Source organism: Homo sapiens, chromosome 15 (genome assembly GCF_000001405.40).
Source record: "Homo sapiens chromosome 15, GRCh38.p14 Primary Assembly".
Taxonomy (NCBI): domain Eukaryota; kingdom Metazoa; phylum Chordata; class Mammalia; order Primates; family Hominidae; genus Homo; species Homo sapiens.
The window spans coordinates 69,751,508-69,769,135 of record NC_000015.10 but is presented as its reverse complement, the minus strand read 5'-3'; the positions used below and the strand labels follow the sequence as shown (position 1 = coordinate 69,769,135).

Genomic DNA, 17,628 nt, shown 5'->3' with positions numbered 1-17,628 from the left:
CAGATAACCTAGGTGAAATTGACAAATTCTTACAAATACAAAACCTACCAATATTGGAGCACAAAGAAATAGAAAATCTCAATAGACTTATAACTATTAAGGAGATTGAGCCAGTAATAAAAATTATAATAGAATTCAACAAAAAAAAAATCCTTGGACTTGATGGCTTCACTAGTGATTTCTGCCAAACATTGAAAGAAGACATAACACCAATTATTCTCAAAGTTTTTTGAAAAATGGAAGAGGAAGGGACAGTTCCTCTCTGCCTATGAGGTCAGCATTACCCTGATACAAAAGCCAAAGTTACTGCAAGAAAAGAAAACTATATATTTTAAGTAAATGTTCATAAGACCAATATTTCTTATGAGCATTGATTTAAAAACTCATCAACAAAATACTAGCAAACTAAATTTGGTAGCTAATATGGATTTTATATTATGACCAAGTGGGATTCATTCTTGTAATGCAAGGATGGTCCACATATAGATATCAATTGCTGTAAAACACCACATTAACAGAATGACAAGGAAAAACACGTGATTATCTCAATTGATGCAGAGAAAGCATTTGACAAAATTCAACACCCTTTTATGATAAAACACTCTGAAAACTAGAAACAGAGGTAAACTACCTCAAAATAATCAAAGCCCTATATGAAAAATCCATAGCAAACATACTCAATGGTGAAAGCTTTTCCTCTAGGATAAGGAACAAGGTAAGTATGCCCACTCACACCACTTCTATTTAACATAGTGTTGGAAGTCCTAGCCAGAGTATTAGGCAAGAAAAAGGAATAAAAGGCATCCAAATTGGAAAAGAAGTAAAATGATCTGTTTGCAGATCTTATATATAGAAAACCCTAAATATTGCACCCAAAAACCCTTTTCAAAACAAATAAATTAATTTAGCAAAGTAGCAGGATACAGTCAACACACACAAATCAGGTGCATTTCTATATAATAACAATGAACAATCTGAAAAGGAAATTAAGAAAACAATTCCATTTACAATAGCATCAAAAAGAATAAAATACTTAGGAATTAACCAAGCAGGTGAAAGACTTGTACAAAGAAAACTATAAAACATTGCTGAAGGAAATTAAAGATGACATAAATAAATGGAAAGACATATCATATTTGTGATATGTATGACATATCATTGTAAGATTGTAAGACAGTATTGTTAAGACATCAATACTCCAAACTGATCTACAGATTCAATGCAATACCTATCTACTATGGTCTGAATGTTTGTGTCTCACCAAACTTCATACATTGAAACCTAATCACCAATGTGATAATATTAGGAGGTGGAAACTTTGAAGGTGATTAGGTCATGATTAGGCTGAGCCCTCATGACTGGCAGTAGTACCCTTAAAAAGCAGGCTCCAGACAGCTGCTTTGTCCCATCCATCATGTGAGAACACAGGGAGAAGGTGCCACCTATGAACCAAAAAGTGAGCCCTCATCAGACACTGAATATGATCTTGGACTTCCCAGCCTCCAGAACTGTGGGAAATAAATCTCTGTGGTTTATAAGCTACCCAGTCTATATTTTGTTACAGTAGCCTAAACGAACTAATACATTATTAAAATCCCAACATTTTTTGCAGAAATAGAAAGATCTACCTCAACATTCATATGGAATCTGAAAAGCCAAAACAATCTTGGAAAAGAAGAACGAAGTTGAAGAACTCGCCTTTCCTGATTTCACAATTTACTACAAAACTGCAGCAATCAAAACAGTGTGTTACTGGCATAAAAACAATATTTCAAAAAAACAAAGTTGAAGGACCCACACTTCCTGATTTCTAAACTTACTACAAAGCTACAGTAATCAAAACAGTGTGTTACTGGCATAAACACAAACACACCGACCAATGAATTAGAATAGAGAACCTGGGGATAAATCCTCACAAATGATTTTCAACAAGGGTTCCAAAGCCATTCAATGTGAGTTCTTTCATTCACCCTTTCCCAGCAAAGGGTGCTGGGAAAACTGAATACCCACATGCAGGACAATAAAGTTAGCCCCTTACCCATATTATATACAAAAGTTAGCCCCTTACCCAATTAGATACAAAATTAACTCAAAATATATCACAGATCAAAAACTATAAAGCTCTTAGAAGAAAACATGGGGCAAAAGTTTTGTGACATTAGATTTGGCAATGCTTTCTTGGATATGACACCAAAGGCACAAGCTACAAAAGAAAAAATAGTTAATTTGGGCGTCATAAAAATTAAAACCTTTTGGGCATCAAAGGACACTATCAACAGAGTAAAAAGGCAACCCCTGGAATGAGAGAAACTCTAAGCAAATCACATATCTGATAAGGGATTAATATCTAGAATACATAGAGAATTCCTAAAACTCAGCAACAAAAACAAAGAACCTGATTCAAAAATGGGCAAAGGACTCAACAAGACATTTCTCCAAAGAAGACATATGAATAGCCAATAAGCCATTAGTTCGACATCACTAGCCATTACAGAAATACAAGTCAAAACCACAATGAGATATCACCTCGCACCCATTAGGAGTGCTATTATAAAAACAAAACACACAACAGAAAATAACAAGTGTTGGTGAGGATGTGGAGAAATTGGAACAGTTGTGCACTGTTGGTGGGAATGCAAAATGGTACAGCCTCTGTGTAAAATAATATGGTGCCTCTTCAAAAATTAAAAATAGAAATGCCACATGATCCAACAATTCCCCTCTGGGTATAGACTCAAAAGAATTGAAAGCCAGATCTTGAAGAAATATCTGTACACACAAGTTTATAGCAGCATTACTCACAGTAGCCAAGAGGTGGAAGCAATCCAGGTGTCCATCAACAGATGAATGGGTAAAGAGAATGTGGTGTATACATACAATGAAATAATATTCAGCCTTTAAACAAGGAAAGTCTGATACATGCAACAAATGGATGAACCTCAAGGAAATAATGCTAAGTGAAATAAGCCACTCACTAAAATACCAATACTACATCATTTCACTTATAGGACGTACTTAGGGTAGTCAAAATCATAGAGACAGAAAGTAGAATGGTGGTTTTCAGGTGCTGCGGGGAGGTAATGTTTAATGGATACAGAGTTTCAGTTTTGCAAGATGAAAAGAGTTCTGGAGATAGATGATGGTGATGGCTGCACAACAGCATCAATGTATTTAATACCACTGAATGGTACGCTTAACAATGGTCAGAATGTTATGTGTATATTACCACAGTAAAAAAGCTGAAAGAAATACGTATATAAACACACACACATATATATGTATATAAAACATACAAACACATGTATACAAACAGAAAAAGAAAAACCTAGAACTCAAAAATGTCAATAGTGGTGATATCTTGGGATAATGGAGTTATTGGTGATTTTTCCCTTTCTAATTATTCTAAATAAATTTGTATTACTTGTTGAATTAAAACAAAACCAGGGCCGGGCACGGTGGGTCATGCCTGTAATCCCAGCACTTTGGGAGGTCAAGCTGAGAGGATTGCTTGAACTCAGGAGTTCAAGATCAACCTGGGTAACATGGTGAAATCCCCCTCTCTACAAAAAATACGAAAATTAGCCAGGCATGGTGGTGCATGCCTATAGTCCCAGCTACTTGGGGACGCTGAGATGGGAGGATCCCTTGGGCCATGGAGTTCAAGGCTGCAGTGAGTGGAGATTGTGCCACTACATTCCAGCCTGGAGACAAAGTGAGACCCTGTCTCTAAATAAATAAATAACAAAACCAAAAGACTAAAAATTAGATTGAGGGAAGACCTATTTCTATGAAGTTATCCCTAAATCTTAAGGGATTAACAAAGAAGTTAATCATACCCAACCCTACACTTGAAAACTGGAAACAACCCTTTATTCTATCATTCATAGCATTGTAGTCTAGAATGTTCTTATAGCAGGTAGGTGTTATTTGACCAGCATCCTTTAATTCAGGGCACCACCACTCTGCCATTTCATGATTTTGAAGTGGGATTGACTGGATGTCTTATTCTTTCCCAGGCAACATGGATGAGCCTCAAAAGCATTATGCTAAGTGAAAGAAGCCAGACTCAAAGGCTGCATACTGAATGATTTCATTTACAAGATATTCTAGGTAAGGCAAAATGATAGTGACAACGATCACATTAGTGGTGGCAGGAACTAGAGAGCTGGGGAGGGGGCTGGCTCTAAAGGGACAGGAGAGAACTTTGGGGGATCCTGTAAATGTTCTCTGTTATAAGTGGTTATAGGATACTACACATTGTCAAAACTGAATGCATTGTACACTCTGAAAGGTTAAATTTCACTGAATAAATAAGTTCAACACATGTGACTCAAAAAATAAATTAAAACTTTCGTTTTATTTTTTCTTTTATTTGTTTATTTATTGAGAGATAGAGTCTTGCTTTGTCACCCAGGCTGGAGTGCAGCGGTGCAATCATAGCTCACTACAACCTCAAACTCCTGGGTTCAACTGATCCTTCCGCCTCAGCCTCCCAAGTAGCTGGGACTACAGGTGTGCACCACCACGCCTGGTTAAGTTCTTACATTTTTTTGTAGAGACGGGGGTCTCTCTATGTCTCTGACTCCTGGCCAGGCTGGTCTCTGACTCATGGTGGAGCTGGTCTCGAACTCCTGGCTTCAAGCGATCTTCCCACCTTGGCCTTGCAAAGTGCTGGGATTACAGGCATGAGTCACCATGCCAGGCCTCAAAACTTTTACAACAGTTTTAAAAATTAATAAGAAGGACACTTTAAACAAATCAGCGAGAATGGCGGGTAAAAGACCCTTTGGGGCCTCGGCTCTGCAATGGAACAGCTGGCTTAGGCCAGGGGAACTGACAGCCCCAGAGACATGAAGATCATCAACATCTGTCTTCTTACAAGCAGCAATGGAATGAAAGTGGGAGAAGCCCCAGGGGCACCAGGGAAGAATATGGGCAGGAGGGCTGGGCAGAGTCCGGAGCCCAAAAATCCCCTTCCCTGGTACTGGTGCCCCCTCAGACACTCTGGGCTGTGCCCAATCTGCCTCCAGCTCTGCCTCAGCTCACTGCCTGCTGGAGCCATCTCCCAGGTCTTGGCAGCTCTCCCTCCTCACTCTGGTACTGACCACCTGGCATGTTTTCCCCTCTAGTTTGCTTCAGAGCCTTCTCTCTCCAACTGCTCCGTAGCTAACCCCAGCCTGACTCCAGCCTCCAAAGCCAGCTATTGAGAAAAAAAAATTATAAATGGGAAACAGTTCGAGATTTGGAGCTTATTAGATTTCAAGTTGGGAAGATCTACAAAAGATGCTGATGCTGCTTTGAAGGCACATATACTTCCTTCCTAAATTCTTGCTCTGATTCCTAACTAGCAACAGATAACCAAGTTACCTCACTATCACCTAATGCCAGTAGGAAGAAGGAGAACATTAGAAATAATATTATCCTTGGATATCTCAAAGAGCTAAAGGCTGAAGTTGTCCTAACCAGCTGCTTAACCAGTCACAACTAATTATCAGGTGAGAGAAATCAGGAAAAGCCATGCCACTTCAGCAGAATGGACAGCCCGGCTGGGCCCCATCAAACTTAGGGACAACTAATGTGTTCTTCCAACTCCCTGATGTATCTCCTCGGGATTGTGGTCCATGGCTTCTCTTCTCATTTTCCTAAAAAATCTCTCATAAGCCTGGGGCTATAGGAAATTAATATTAGTAGTGATGGGCTCAATTTCTAACCTCTGCATGGGCAGGGGATGTGGAATTTGCATACCACTTCTGTATATGCCTTCTATATACCATTTCCTAAAAACAAGAAAGACTACCCACCCCACCTCACTCCCAAAATAACCAAAATGATAAAGCCCAGGCTATTTGACAAGGGAAGTTGAGTCTGTAGTCAAATGCTTAAGAGATTTCTGTTTATTTAACTCTGCTCCATGCATCGCTCTAATAAGGTTGTAGAAGGGACATTGGCCACACCAAAGGAAGCTCTCAGGGGCACTCATAAGCAAGGCTTGTCCAGAGAACTCTTGTGGAGGGCTCAGGCTGAGAGGAAATGTAGGACAAGATGCCCCGGGTCCTGGTCCACACTGGCTGGTCCCTGGGAGCCAGACCATGAAACAGAGAGACATGAACCTCAACCAGCACTGCTCTCTCTCTCATCCAAAAGAGCTTCACAAGGAAGGATATCCTTCAACACCTGTCCGCTCCAACCTCAAGCCCCTCCCTCCCGATCTGCTCCCATCCCCAGCAAGGACATCCTGACCATACACAGAATAAAGAGCTCCCCCTTGAGTGTGAAATGAGATGAAGCCGTACATTTCTCCTACAAGGCCTGGAGTTCCTCCATTATTGATAGACCTAGGAGAGTCAAGCATTATCCTCTCCAGGTTCATCTTTCCAAAGGTATATTTTTCTGAAGGGGGAAAACATATTAAGGCTCATGGATCACAGTGTGAATAAACTAAGCTGTTGGTTGATGCTGTTTCATGCTCTGTCTGAAGGAACCTGGGCAGGTGAGAGCCCTGGCACCTGGAGCCAGCTGGCAGAAAGAGCAGGGGAAGGACAGGGGCAGAAGTAAAACTCTATGGATGTCGTGATTTGATCAGGCACCAGCTCTGCCGAGGACCTCTTGCCTCCTGCAGATCACAAAATCCCAGACTGTCAGACCACAAATACTCTTAGTTCCAACTCTACCATTGGAGATACAGGGAAACTGAGGCTCAGAGGGGCAAAAGAGATTCCATGGCATCTTACTCCTGGCCTATGGTTTTGCTTTTTTTCATGAAGAATTTTTGGGATTCTAGAAGCTGGGATAGTAAGGAACTTTAGAGATCATCTAATTCAGACTCGCATTAAAGATGGCTATGTTCTAGAACTCAGCCGGCCACTTCAGACAATAGGCATGGTGCTCTGATCATCCCTGGAGAACAAACTCACATGAGATATGCATACAATTGCGTACCAGTGACAGCAGATTAAGAACCTGGCCACAGTTATTAAGGATCTACTATAGGCTAGGAAGTTGACAGAAATTATTTCAACCTATATTCTAAACTATCTTTTGAAGGCCATTATAATTATCCTCACTTTATGGTGGAAGACACTGAGAATCAGAAAGGTTAAGTAATTTATTCAAAGTCACAGCAGTAGTAAGTTCAGAATATGGGATTTGAACCCAGGTCTCTGAGACTCAAAAAAAGCATGATTGTGTCATTAACTCCTCATGGTGTTTGTATGAAGACAGAGAGATTGAAAAATGTTGAATTTTACCTCTTTATTATCCCTAATGGTGGAGGAGGTGGTGCTGAAAGGCTGATTGTAGAGTTATCAATCTTATCTATCTTTTAGCGTAAGTTCCTGCTTTCATTGACCATCTTCCCAGACTAGGTCACTTTCTCCTATTACACACCTCAGTATTTCCCTTCACAGCGCTTTTCACAGTAGTGATTTAATTGCCAATGTAATTATTTGGTCAATACTTCTCTCTGTCAATAGACTATAAGACCCATGAAGGTAGGGACTGAGTTCAGAGTCTATCTTGGTCACCACTACATCTTCTGTGCCTAGCACAGGGCCTATACCAAATATGTGCTCATAGTATCTGTGGAACAAATAGATGAATGGTTGGACGGATGGGTGGATAGATGCATGGATGAATGGAAAGATGCATACATAGATAGAAGGATGAATGGATGAATGGACGGACGGATGGATGGATGGATGGATGGATGGATGGATGGATGGATGGATGGATGCCTGCATGCATGCATGCCTGGATGGGTGGGTGGACGGACAGATGCATGGATGGATGGATGGATGGATGGATGGATGGATGGATGGATGCATAAATGGATGGTCAAATGTATGGATGGTTGGATGAATGAATAGATGAATCTCAGCTCACTGATGTCCTGAAATGTGCAGTGACCCAAAGCCCTGGGCTCTGAGAACCAAAGCAGACAGGACTTTGTTTTTGTTTCTGAACACTGCCTGTGTGGTGAGTCACCCAATTTTTGAAAACCACATGCTTCTTTCCACAATCAGGCTGCCCAGAGGGGCCCCCAAGCCTCAAAGAGCATCAGGAAAACACTGCTCACACGCACAATTACTGCCAGTTTCTTATCGTTGCTGCTTTGATGTGCTGTTTGTGAGTCAGAGCTGCTGTTGCCTCAATGCTGTTCCTGTTTCAGCAGCATTCTGACATTTTTTTTTTTTTTTAAAGAAAAAAGTCGGAAGTGGCAGACTCTGTCTTTGGGCTAGGACTACAGACTGTTATTTGATTTGATTACTGCTTCATTTGATTATGGATGGACTCGGGATTGAGGGGGATAAGGATATCAAAGAGAAAATGGTGGCCATATCCCACCTACGCTAAAGTAAAGAGTACCACTCCAGCCCTTTGGAAGAGAACATCCCCAACTCTTCCCCAGCAGATCCACTATATGGAACCCACTGTGGTCAGACTGGGGTCTGGCTATTTCCTGCCACACCCTGAACTTTCTCACTTCCTTTCTTACCTATACATTTCCAGTTGCCAAGAATGTCACCCCTCTCCCCATCTCCACCTCTCAAAAATACCATGCAGCCTTCCAAGGCTAAACTCAGTTACAGCTTTCTCCACTGAGCCTCTTCTGTTCACTGCAGTCAACAGTCTCCTGACCTGCCTGCTCTTTGAGATCTTGTAACATTCACTTCCCATGTGCTAATTTACTCATGTTACTATCTGACGATAATGTGCATTTTGCAATGTTCTGTTGCAATTTAAAGGAAGAAAGTTATGATGTCTTGAGGATAATGGCACTCTTGGGGCCAAAAGAAAGAAGCTGGAGTCCAACTAAGCTACTTTCTTCCTATCTGATCTCTGAGAAGTTATTACCCTCAGTTTGTTCATCAGTAAAATCAGGGTTTTTCTAGACTTGAATATCAGATAAGATAATCGTCCTAAACATGCTTTGTAAACTGTACAATTGTGGTGTATATGAAGAATAATTAACATCATCTTCATCCTTTCCATCATTACTGTCAGCATCATCAGCATCATCACTGCACTTCTATTTCACTTCCCATGTGTTAACATACCTGGATAACACATATTTGTTATCTCCTAAGCTGGACTGTGGGTCTCTCATGGTTAGGGACCTAGCGGCATACCTCTGAACCTCCTTATCTTACACATAGCACAGGGCTGGGTACACCGTTGATATCCAGTGACTGTTTCTCAATTGATTGATAAACTCAGATGAAAATAACTCAATAGGAGAAAGCTATATATGACAAGGAATCTTTCAGAGGTCCTGTTTTATTTCTTCCTTTGTTGTAAAAATAACAAATGGAAAGAAGTACATTATTAAAGTCAGCAACATCTCTCCCCGCACCTGACAAGAATGGTCTTGCACATTTTTTTTGCCATATCCCTTGACAGCACCAGGACACTTCTCATTCCATAGTCTCATCCAACCTTCAAGAGAATCCTTGAAAAGGAAACAGGGAACCGCAGGTGCATAACGTCCCATTCTACAGTCAAGTGAAGTGAGGCCCAGCAACATGATCTCACTTACTCCAAGATGGAGCATTGAGTCATTGGTAAAACCCCGCCCATGAAGGAGGTCTCCTAACTCTTGGCCCTTGGATGTTTTGAGGTGGACACTGATTCCACTGAAAGAGAATTTTCTACCACTAATCAAGGAGACAGAGGTTTTATAAATGATACCTTATTTATTCTTCATGGTGTCCTTGAAAATGACCTATCATCATCTCCTTTGTATCCATGAGGAAACTGACACTCTGAGAGGTGAAGTGACCTGCCCAAGGTCACGGAGAAGAGGTGGGGCCAGGCTCTCATTTCCCAGTACCCACTGAGCACACTCTAGGCATGTGGGCTGAGCCTACTGCCGGGCTGTGAATCTCTCCCCCCTGTTCTCTGGTTCCTTGATTCACAGGAAGTTCAGGTCAACCACATCCTGCCACGTCTTTGCAGACAAGATAACGATCCCCACCACCACCATTCTCTGTCCCACCACAGCCCAGCAAGGGCAGACAGGCTTCCTTTACTCTTTTGATAACCACTGTATGTCACAGCTAAAAGGGGCCTAACTCTGAGTTTCCCTCCTTTAAAATCATCTGGTCCACATGCTAATGGTCCAGAATCCCCAGGTCATCTCTATAGCTTGAAATAATCATTCTAAAGTAGGGGTCCAGGAATCTGTATTTTTAACAAGCATCCTGAGTGATTCAATGAGTGTTCAAGTTTGGGAAACCACTAGTTAAACCCTGCTGGGATGACTTTTCCCTGTCATCCCAGTAGTGTAGGCTGGGTTGTATCTTTGTCATACTTACTGTGTCTGTTATAAGGGGCCACTGAATGCTACTGAATTTGTACTTTGCCATTAAGGAAGAAGGCCTGGAAAGTTAATTAAGCCAGCTTGAGATCTAACCCGTCCAGCTCTGCATAAGCAAGAGGAATGATGCATTTGGAGGCCCTCCTGAAGAACTCCCAGCATGCCAGCCTAAGTCCACATGTTCATCATCTGAAGCCACCTTCTTGGAGTGATCTGGAACTGACCCTCAATCCACAAACATTAACCTTTAGCCCAGCAGTAGGCAAACTACTTCCTACAAGCCAAAGCCTGCTGCTTGTTTTTTGTGAAGTTTTATTGGCACAGAGCCACACCCATTTGTTTATATATTGTTTATGGCTGCTTTTGCACTACTATGGCAGAATAAAGCCTAAAATATTTACTATCTGGCGCTTTACAGAAAAAGTTTGCCAACCCCTGCATTATCCCATCTATCAACCAGCAAAGCTTCATTCCTGTGGCTGTATCAGATGGCCTCTGGCTTTCCCAGTCATGTACCCACAGTATCACAGCAGCAGAGTGCTTGAGCACCTCGTAGGGACTTTAAAAACATGTTGAATGAAGAACCATCACAATGAGCTATTTCAATTTCCATTATGCAAATGAAAAAAATCACAGCTTTTAGAAACATTAATTATGTAAGCCAAGGTCTAAGAGTTAGAAAGTGCTAGAATTAGACCGGGAACAGTGGCTCATGTCTGTAATCTCAGCACTTTGGGAGGCCAAGGCAGGCAGATCACCTGAGGTCAGGAGTTCGAGACCAGCCTGACCAACATGGTGAAACCCCATCTCTACTGAAAATACAAAAATTAGCTAGGCATGTTGGCAGCTGCCTATAATCCCAGCTACTTGGGAGGCTGAGGCAGGAGAATCACTTGAACCCAGGAGGCGGAGGTTGCAGTGAGCCGAGATCACGCCATCGCACTCCAACCTGGGCAACAAGAGCAAAACTCCGTCTCAAAAAAAAAAAAAAAAAGTGCTAGAATTAGAATTTTTATTGATCCCAGGTACAATATTTTGTCCTATCAACTTGAGGCAGTGATCAGGCAGAATCTTGCCGGAAATGTGCAGAAATGGGGCCTAGGGTAGGTCTTTTGGATGAAGGACCTGGATCTTGGGGCTAGGAGAGATGGGAAGGCCCTAGGAAAGAATGAAGAATTATCTGAAAGGATAAGCAGGCCTTGTCCTGCTGGGAAAATAGGTACCTTGAGAATATATTAAGCTAATTCATATTACAGTGTTAGCTTCTTTCTGGACCTGCTGTGACAAAGTTAATGGAGCTTTTTCACCTGGGGGTAAAGGAGGGTACATCAAGGAGCACAGAGAAGGGAGAGCAGAGTGAGTCAGGCACGCTTACCAGAATACGACTCAAACCGAACCAGGTCTCAGTGGTGTTGAGTCACTGGGGCATCAGTCAGGAGCCTGGGCAGCCACCTGGCAGTGGGACTGCGGTGGAGGTGCCCACCCCAGGGGATGCCTGGGCCCAGTGAACATGAAGCCCTTCCCAGCTCTGAGGTTCTCAGAACCCTTTGTGGCTTGAGTTAGCCCTGACACTCTCCCATCCACTTTACGGAGAAGCATTAAAGCCACCGAACACCCCCTCTTGAATCTGATGAGATTCAGCTTTGTCAGACCCACTTTCCCAAGACAGTCATAGAAAATGGGGGATTCTCTGGGTTGGCTGTTTGGAATTCTTCCCCAGATAAATCACGCCCACGAGGTAGCACCAACAATATGTAGTCTCTGTTTCTTTAAAGTGAAAGAGAATATAAAACTGAATGCCAAAGACTCTATTTTGTTGTTTTTTCCTCTAACCTTTATAGTTATCGCACTTACACTGAATTCACCAGGAGGTTGTTCCGTTATAGCATGCATTGATTCTCTCCAAAGCACTCACTTTAGCTTGCAAAGAAACAACTCTACGTTTTTGCACTCATATTTCATTGCATTATGAAATGATGGATTGCATTATTTAATCAGAGTAACAGGTACAGGTTGAGAAGAAATACAAATAGCCCTCAGTAAGCACACACAGCTCAACCAATGGAAACATATGTGCCCAGGAAAACTGGAGAGAAGCTTCAGTTGGAGCTGCTAGCTTCAAGGGTTTAGTGTATCCCAGGCATGGGCACAGTGCTAGCTGAGTAGTGTGGAGAGTCTACATTAATCTAGCAAGCTGGTCCATTGCAGGTTGCTCAAGAGGGCTTCTGCTGTTTAACTGCACGCAGATGCCACAGCCCTTTGTCACGGACAGAGCACTGTCCAGCGTAATCCTCATGGCCCTTTAAGGGAGGCAGAGAAGATTTTCATATAGGAAAAATGAGGATCAGAGGCCTTGAGTGACTTTCTCAGAGACAAATGTGCAGTAATTACCTCCTTCGTGTCTGTACTGCAGGAGCCCAGCACAGAGTGGACACATGGAAAAAAAGGCCACCGTTTATGAAACAGAAGTGATAGAGCCAGGCCCCAAACCAGGTGGATCTGCTTTGAGAGCCCATGTTCTTTCAACTCACTGATGAACATTTGTGAAATGCACACTATTTGTCAAGAATTATGGCTGGCCCAGATACAAAAGATAGGGCCTATTACTTCTCACCTGTTTAGGGCCATGTGTTTTCCAGCTCTTATTTTTCTCCCCACCTTTCTCCTGGAAAAAAAAACAAAAACTTGTTTTAAAAGGCTCAATTCTTCTGTCTCCTTTGGTGTTAATTCTTCTGCAAAATAGCCTGGGAAGAAACAATTGATTTGAATTATGCCAAAGCTTTTCAGAAGTGGGGATGGACAGAGTGCCCCCCATCCAGTCTCACCTTTACTCTCCACCCCATTTCCTACTTCCACCTCCAAGACTTCCCACACTTATGCAAAACATCCTGGCTGAGTCTCACCAAGAGCTCTAGGGGAAACCCTAAACCTCAGAGTGAAATGAAGGGGCTGATTTGCCCCTGGGGAAATTAGACACAAACAAGGCTGGGGTGAACCACCAGTCTTGAAACTGTTTCTCTGGATTAGTCACAGGGTTACCCACTCATGAATGTTCCTCCCACCTCCTCACTTCAGGCTCTGTTATTCTAGAGGGCTGGCCTGGTTACAAGGGTAGCCAGATTAACTAGGGTCTAAATGGGAGAGCTGGGGCACGGATCATTCACCAAAGAAACCGCAGCGACCTTCCGCCTGGGTGGGGCTTCTCTTCTTTTAACCTCCCGCGAAACTGCTAGTCAGCAGCTCTGTTTCCTGCCATTGCTCGAGGAGATCTTCATGAGTTTCATAGGAGTAGGATTGTGCCTTCAATCCATCATCTTTCTAGGGAAGGTAGCAGTATTTCATTGGCTTATTTCTTAACAAATAATATATTAAAGACTGCTTTCCTCCAGGTACCTGTTAGACACTAGGAATATAGTGGTAAGCAAAGAACTGCTTAGGAGTCTTGCTCTTGTGTTTTTGATGGTTGATCTCAGGTTGTTTAAGAGGCTTCTGCTGTTCAACTGCATATGCGACAGCCCTTTTACATGAACAGAGAGAACTGTCCAGTAATTTAATCCTCATGGCCCCTCAAAGGTGGCAGAGAAAATTTTCATATAGGAAATTAGGATCAGAGGCATTAAGTAACTTTCTCAAAGACAAACGTGTGGTAATTATCTCTTTTATGTCTGTACTGCAGGAGCCCAGCACAGAGTGGACACGAGAAAAGAAATTCTATTGTTTATGAAACAGAAGTGATAGAGCTGGGCCCCAAATTGGGTATATCTGTTTTGAGATTGCTTTGTAACACATATACATCAAATAACTGCTAGAGACCAGGGCAAGGGGGTTCTGTCTGTTTGGTTCACTGCTATATGGTTAAGGCCAAGAAAAGTACCTGGCATACAATAGACATTCAATAAGCATTTGTTGGATGGATGGATGGATGGATGGATGACCCAAACAATTGCAGGTCATGCTGAATGTAAGAATTAAACGTAACATGGATGAGAATGCATCACGGGATTTATCATCTCTTTTGGGTCTGGGGAAGACTTCTTTGCAAAAAATGATAACCCAGACAAGATTCAAGGGGTGAGCAGGAGCTGGCTAAAGGAAGGAGAAGATAGTGGCAGGAGGAGCCACGCAGACACAAGGAATAGCTTGGGTGAAGGTCTTGAAGCAAGAGGGAGCACAGTTTATGAAAGGATGCTGAAGAAAGTTTCCAGAGCTGGAGGACAAGTGGGAAGGAAGGGTTGGTTCAAGGTGACTCTGGAGGGGACAGCAGAGCAGATCCTAGTGGCCTGAGAATAGAACCCTGACCTCTTCCACAGAGCAAGGAGGAATCACTAACCTATGTTCAGCAGGAATCAATGTGGCCAGACTTGCACTGGCATCACAAGTTGAAGTGCTTTTAGGAAGGTCCATTTGGGAGTGTCTAGGTATACATGACCAATGGGAGATGATGAACTTGCCATAGCTTTTAAAGTTTAAAGTGACACATTTCTAGCCTACTACTATTTCACCTTCACATCATTACATAATGTATTTTAACAAATACCGATATTGCATTACTATGTGACAGATGTCATTCTAAGTGCTTTGCAAATATAAACTCTCACATTGGCCTTGTGACATTGGTGCTAATTATTATCCTTTTTAAAAGATGAGGCAACTGGGCTGGGGCATTTAAACCAACACAGCAGATGACAGAATGCCAGAGTCTTCCTCAATTCCTGTGATGCATGGAGGACTCCAGAAGTCTCCATGTGCCCTGTGGAGGGTGTGCAAGGAGACTGGCCTTGGAGCTGCAGTGGGTGAGGTAGCTGGGGAAGACAGATGGGGCTGGAATGAGAGTCAGTCTGCTTTCAGGGGATCCACAGCACCAGCGACAGTACAGTGGGGCCTTGTTGACAGGAAGAGATGGTGCTCTGTGCCTGGGCCCTGCTGCAAACCTAGCATCTCTCCACACAATCCTAATATCCCTTCAGTTTTTCCTCCACCAGGTCATCTGCTTTGCAGATTCTATGTCTTCCTCTTTCTTGGTTGACCGCCTCATTTTAGCAGAACAGTCCCTCCAGCAGCATCCTGAGACAAGGAGAATGCAAGGAAAATGTGGGGGGACTGTCATTTAAAAAATTCTTTAGCGCTCTTGTGGGTTGCTATTTGGCTGGGCATAAATTCTATTTCACAAGTCACTTTTCTTCAGAATTTTAAAGATACTGCTTCTTTGCTTGTAGTTTTCAGTGTTGCTGCTGAGAAGCTCACACTCAATTAATAGTTTGGCTGGGTATAGAATTCTACAGCCTCAGTCAGCCTCCTGAGCCACTGTTGAGGAATCCAACGCCATCCTGTACCCTGATCTTTTATATATGTTTTTGTTTTTATTTGCTTTTCGTTTTTCTTTTCTGGAAGCTTTTGATATTTTTTCTTGATCTATGGTATTCTGAAATTTCCTAATAATTTGCCTCGATGTGGATCTTTTTGTCATTTGCTGTGTTTAGCATGTGGTAGATTCCGATAAGTAAGCTCATGGCTTCAGTTGTGGGAATTTTATTTTTGTATTTTTCCTTGAATATTTTCTTCCCCTTGTTTTCTCCATTTTTCTCTTTTTGGGACGTTTAACTTTTTGGATGCTGGATATCCTTGATGGATCCTCCAATTTTCTTATCTTTCTTTCCTATTTCCAATCTGTTTATCTTTTTGTTTTACTTTCTGAGCATTCTCCTCATCTATCAAATGTGTTATTTTTTAAGGTTTTTTTTGGACTATTAATTTTAATTTTCAAGAGCTCTGTCTTATTCTCATTTGATCCCCACTCTTTCTTTTTACATTCATTTTTATTTTCTTAGATGCAATATCTTCTCATCTCTGTGATGATGTAACTTGTAATTTTTTGAAGTCTACTCACGTTTAAAATGGGTCACTAAAGATCTGATGAAAAGCTCCATAGGGTTGAAAAGGGCTTTTCAGTTGGCAGAACTCACTGCAAGGTAATAATGTGGGAAGCTAACCATTTCACTGAGGAACCAATCATCAGGAATATTCCTATTTTGTAGATGAGACTAGTCACTGAGAACATAAGTAATTTACCCAAGTTCATATAGCTAGTAACTGGTGTGCTGAGATTCAAACCAAGAACATCTCATTCCAGAAGCAGTGTGCTAAACCACTGTGCTGCACTGCACTGCCTCTCAGAGCAGCAGCAGCTAACATTTAACAAGTGCTTTCTGTGTACCAGACACTGTTCTAGGTACCCAAAAATCATTTAATTTAATCCTCATAATAACATTTTGAAGTAGCCACTTTTGTTAGCCCCATTACTGACCAGCAACTTGAAGCACAGAGAAGGTAAACCACTTGCCCAAGATCACACAGCTGGTAAGTGCTGGAGATGGAATATAATCCTAGGCAATCCGCCCCAAGCATCCTTTCTGCTTTGTCTCCAGGAGTCTCCATTTCATCATCTGAAAAATGGCAATGTGATTCCTAACTCAGTTATTTTGAGGATAAAATGAGAGAACACATGTAAGAAACCTGTACCTAATAGACCTGAAACAGATGTTACTTTCATTAAAAAAAAATTGCTTTCCTCTCTTAGGCTTCAGTTTCTCTAACTTTAAAACAAGAAGCTATAGATTGTAGAAGAAAAGTTTGTAGGCTCCCTAAGGTCCCTCCTGGCTGTGAATGTCCATGGTCTAAAAAGTTAGGGTAGACCTAACTCAGAGGAGTGGAGATAGAATAGGAGTGAGGGTGGGAGATATCAAGACCTCAAGGCATAGAGGAAGAAAAAAAAAAAAAAAAACAGGAGGTAGAAGCAAATGTGACATGTTCTAGATGGTTCCATTTTCCAACTCGGGCCCAGAGAATCCTTTCTGTGTTCCCAAATAGCTGTGAAGTTCAAATAACGGGTTCCAACTGACACATAAAAAGAAACACATGTAACCACTTACAGGCCAATTAATATCAGGGCAGGGGATGGGGGAAAGCCACAGAGGGGAGGAGGCCACTGGGGTTGAAGTGAGCAAAAGAATGATGGCCGTGCTTCCGGGCCTACGGCTGAAATGGGCTATTATGTGTCATCAGGAAACTTAAGAAGGGGAGAAAAAACAACCCCTGATCAAAGTCCCTTTTGTCAACTTCTAGCAGATTAATAGATGACAGATTTTGCACTTAGAGCTCTACTGCAAGGTCAAGGGCAGTGAAACGGGGCTTGTTGGGACATTTTTCTTCTTTCATTCAGCTGCTGGTCTGCAGAACTCATCATTCTGACAGCCCAGCTGCCTGAAACTTCTCTCAGAAGGTCTGCCTTCCCTGGAATATTTTAGGGGGAGAGT

The 17,628-nt window shown here is 42.1% G+C and overlaps 1 long non-coding RNA gene across 1 annotated transcript in view, besides 1 other annotated feature; it reads right to left on the bottom strand.

The window, feature by feature from the left end:
• Positions 1-17,187, bottom strand: part of LOC107984788 (uncharacterized) — a 34,565-nt gene extending 17,378 nt beyond the window's left edge. Inside the window, exons 1-2 of the long non-coding RNA XR_001751592.3 lie at positions 16,620-17,187; positions 12,930-12,980 (exon numbers count right to left, since the gene is read on the bottom strand). This is a non-coding gene — a long non-coding RNA (uncharacterized LOC107984788). The remainder of the gene's footprint in view (positions 1-12,929; positions 12,981-16,619) is intronic.
• Positions 8,134-8,203: an enhancer, noted in NCBI's record as "active region_9663". NCBI's record gives its function as "activates an Ori minimal core promoter by ATAC-STARR-seq in GM12878 lymphoblastoid cells {active_cell/tissue: GM12878}" and the evidence as "EXISTENCE:reporter gene assay evidence [ECO:0000049][PMID:35858748]".
• Positions 17,188-17,628: the final 441 nt, after the last annotated feature.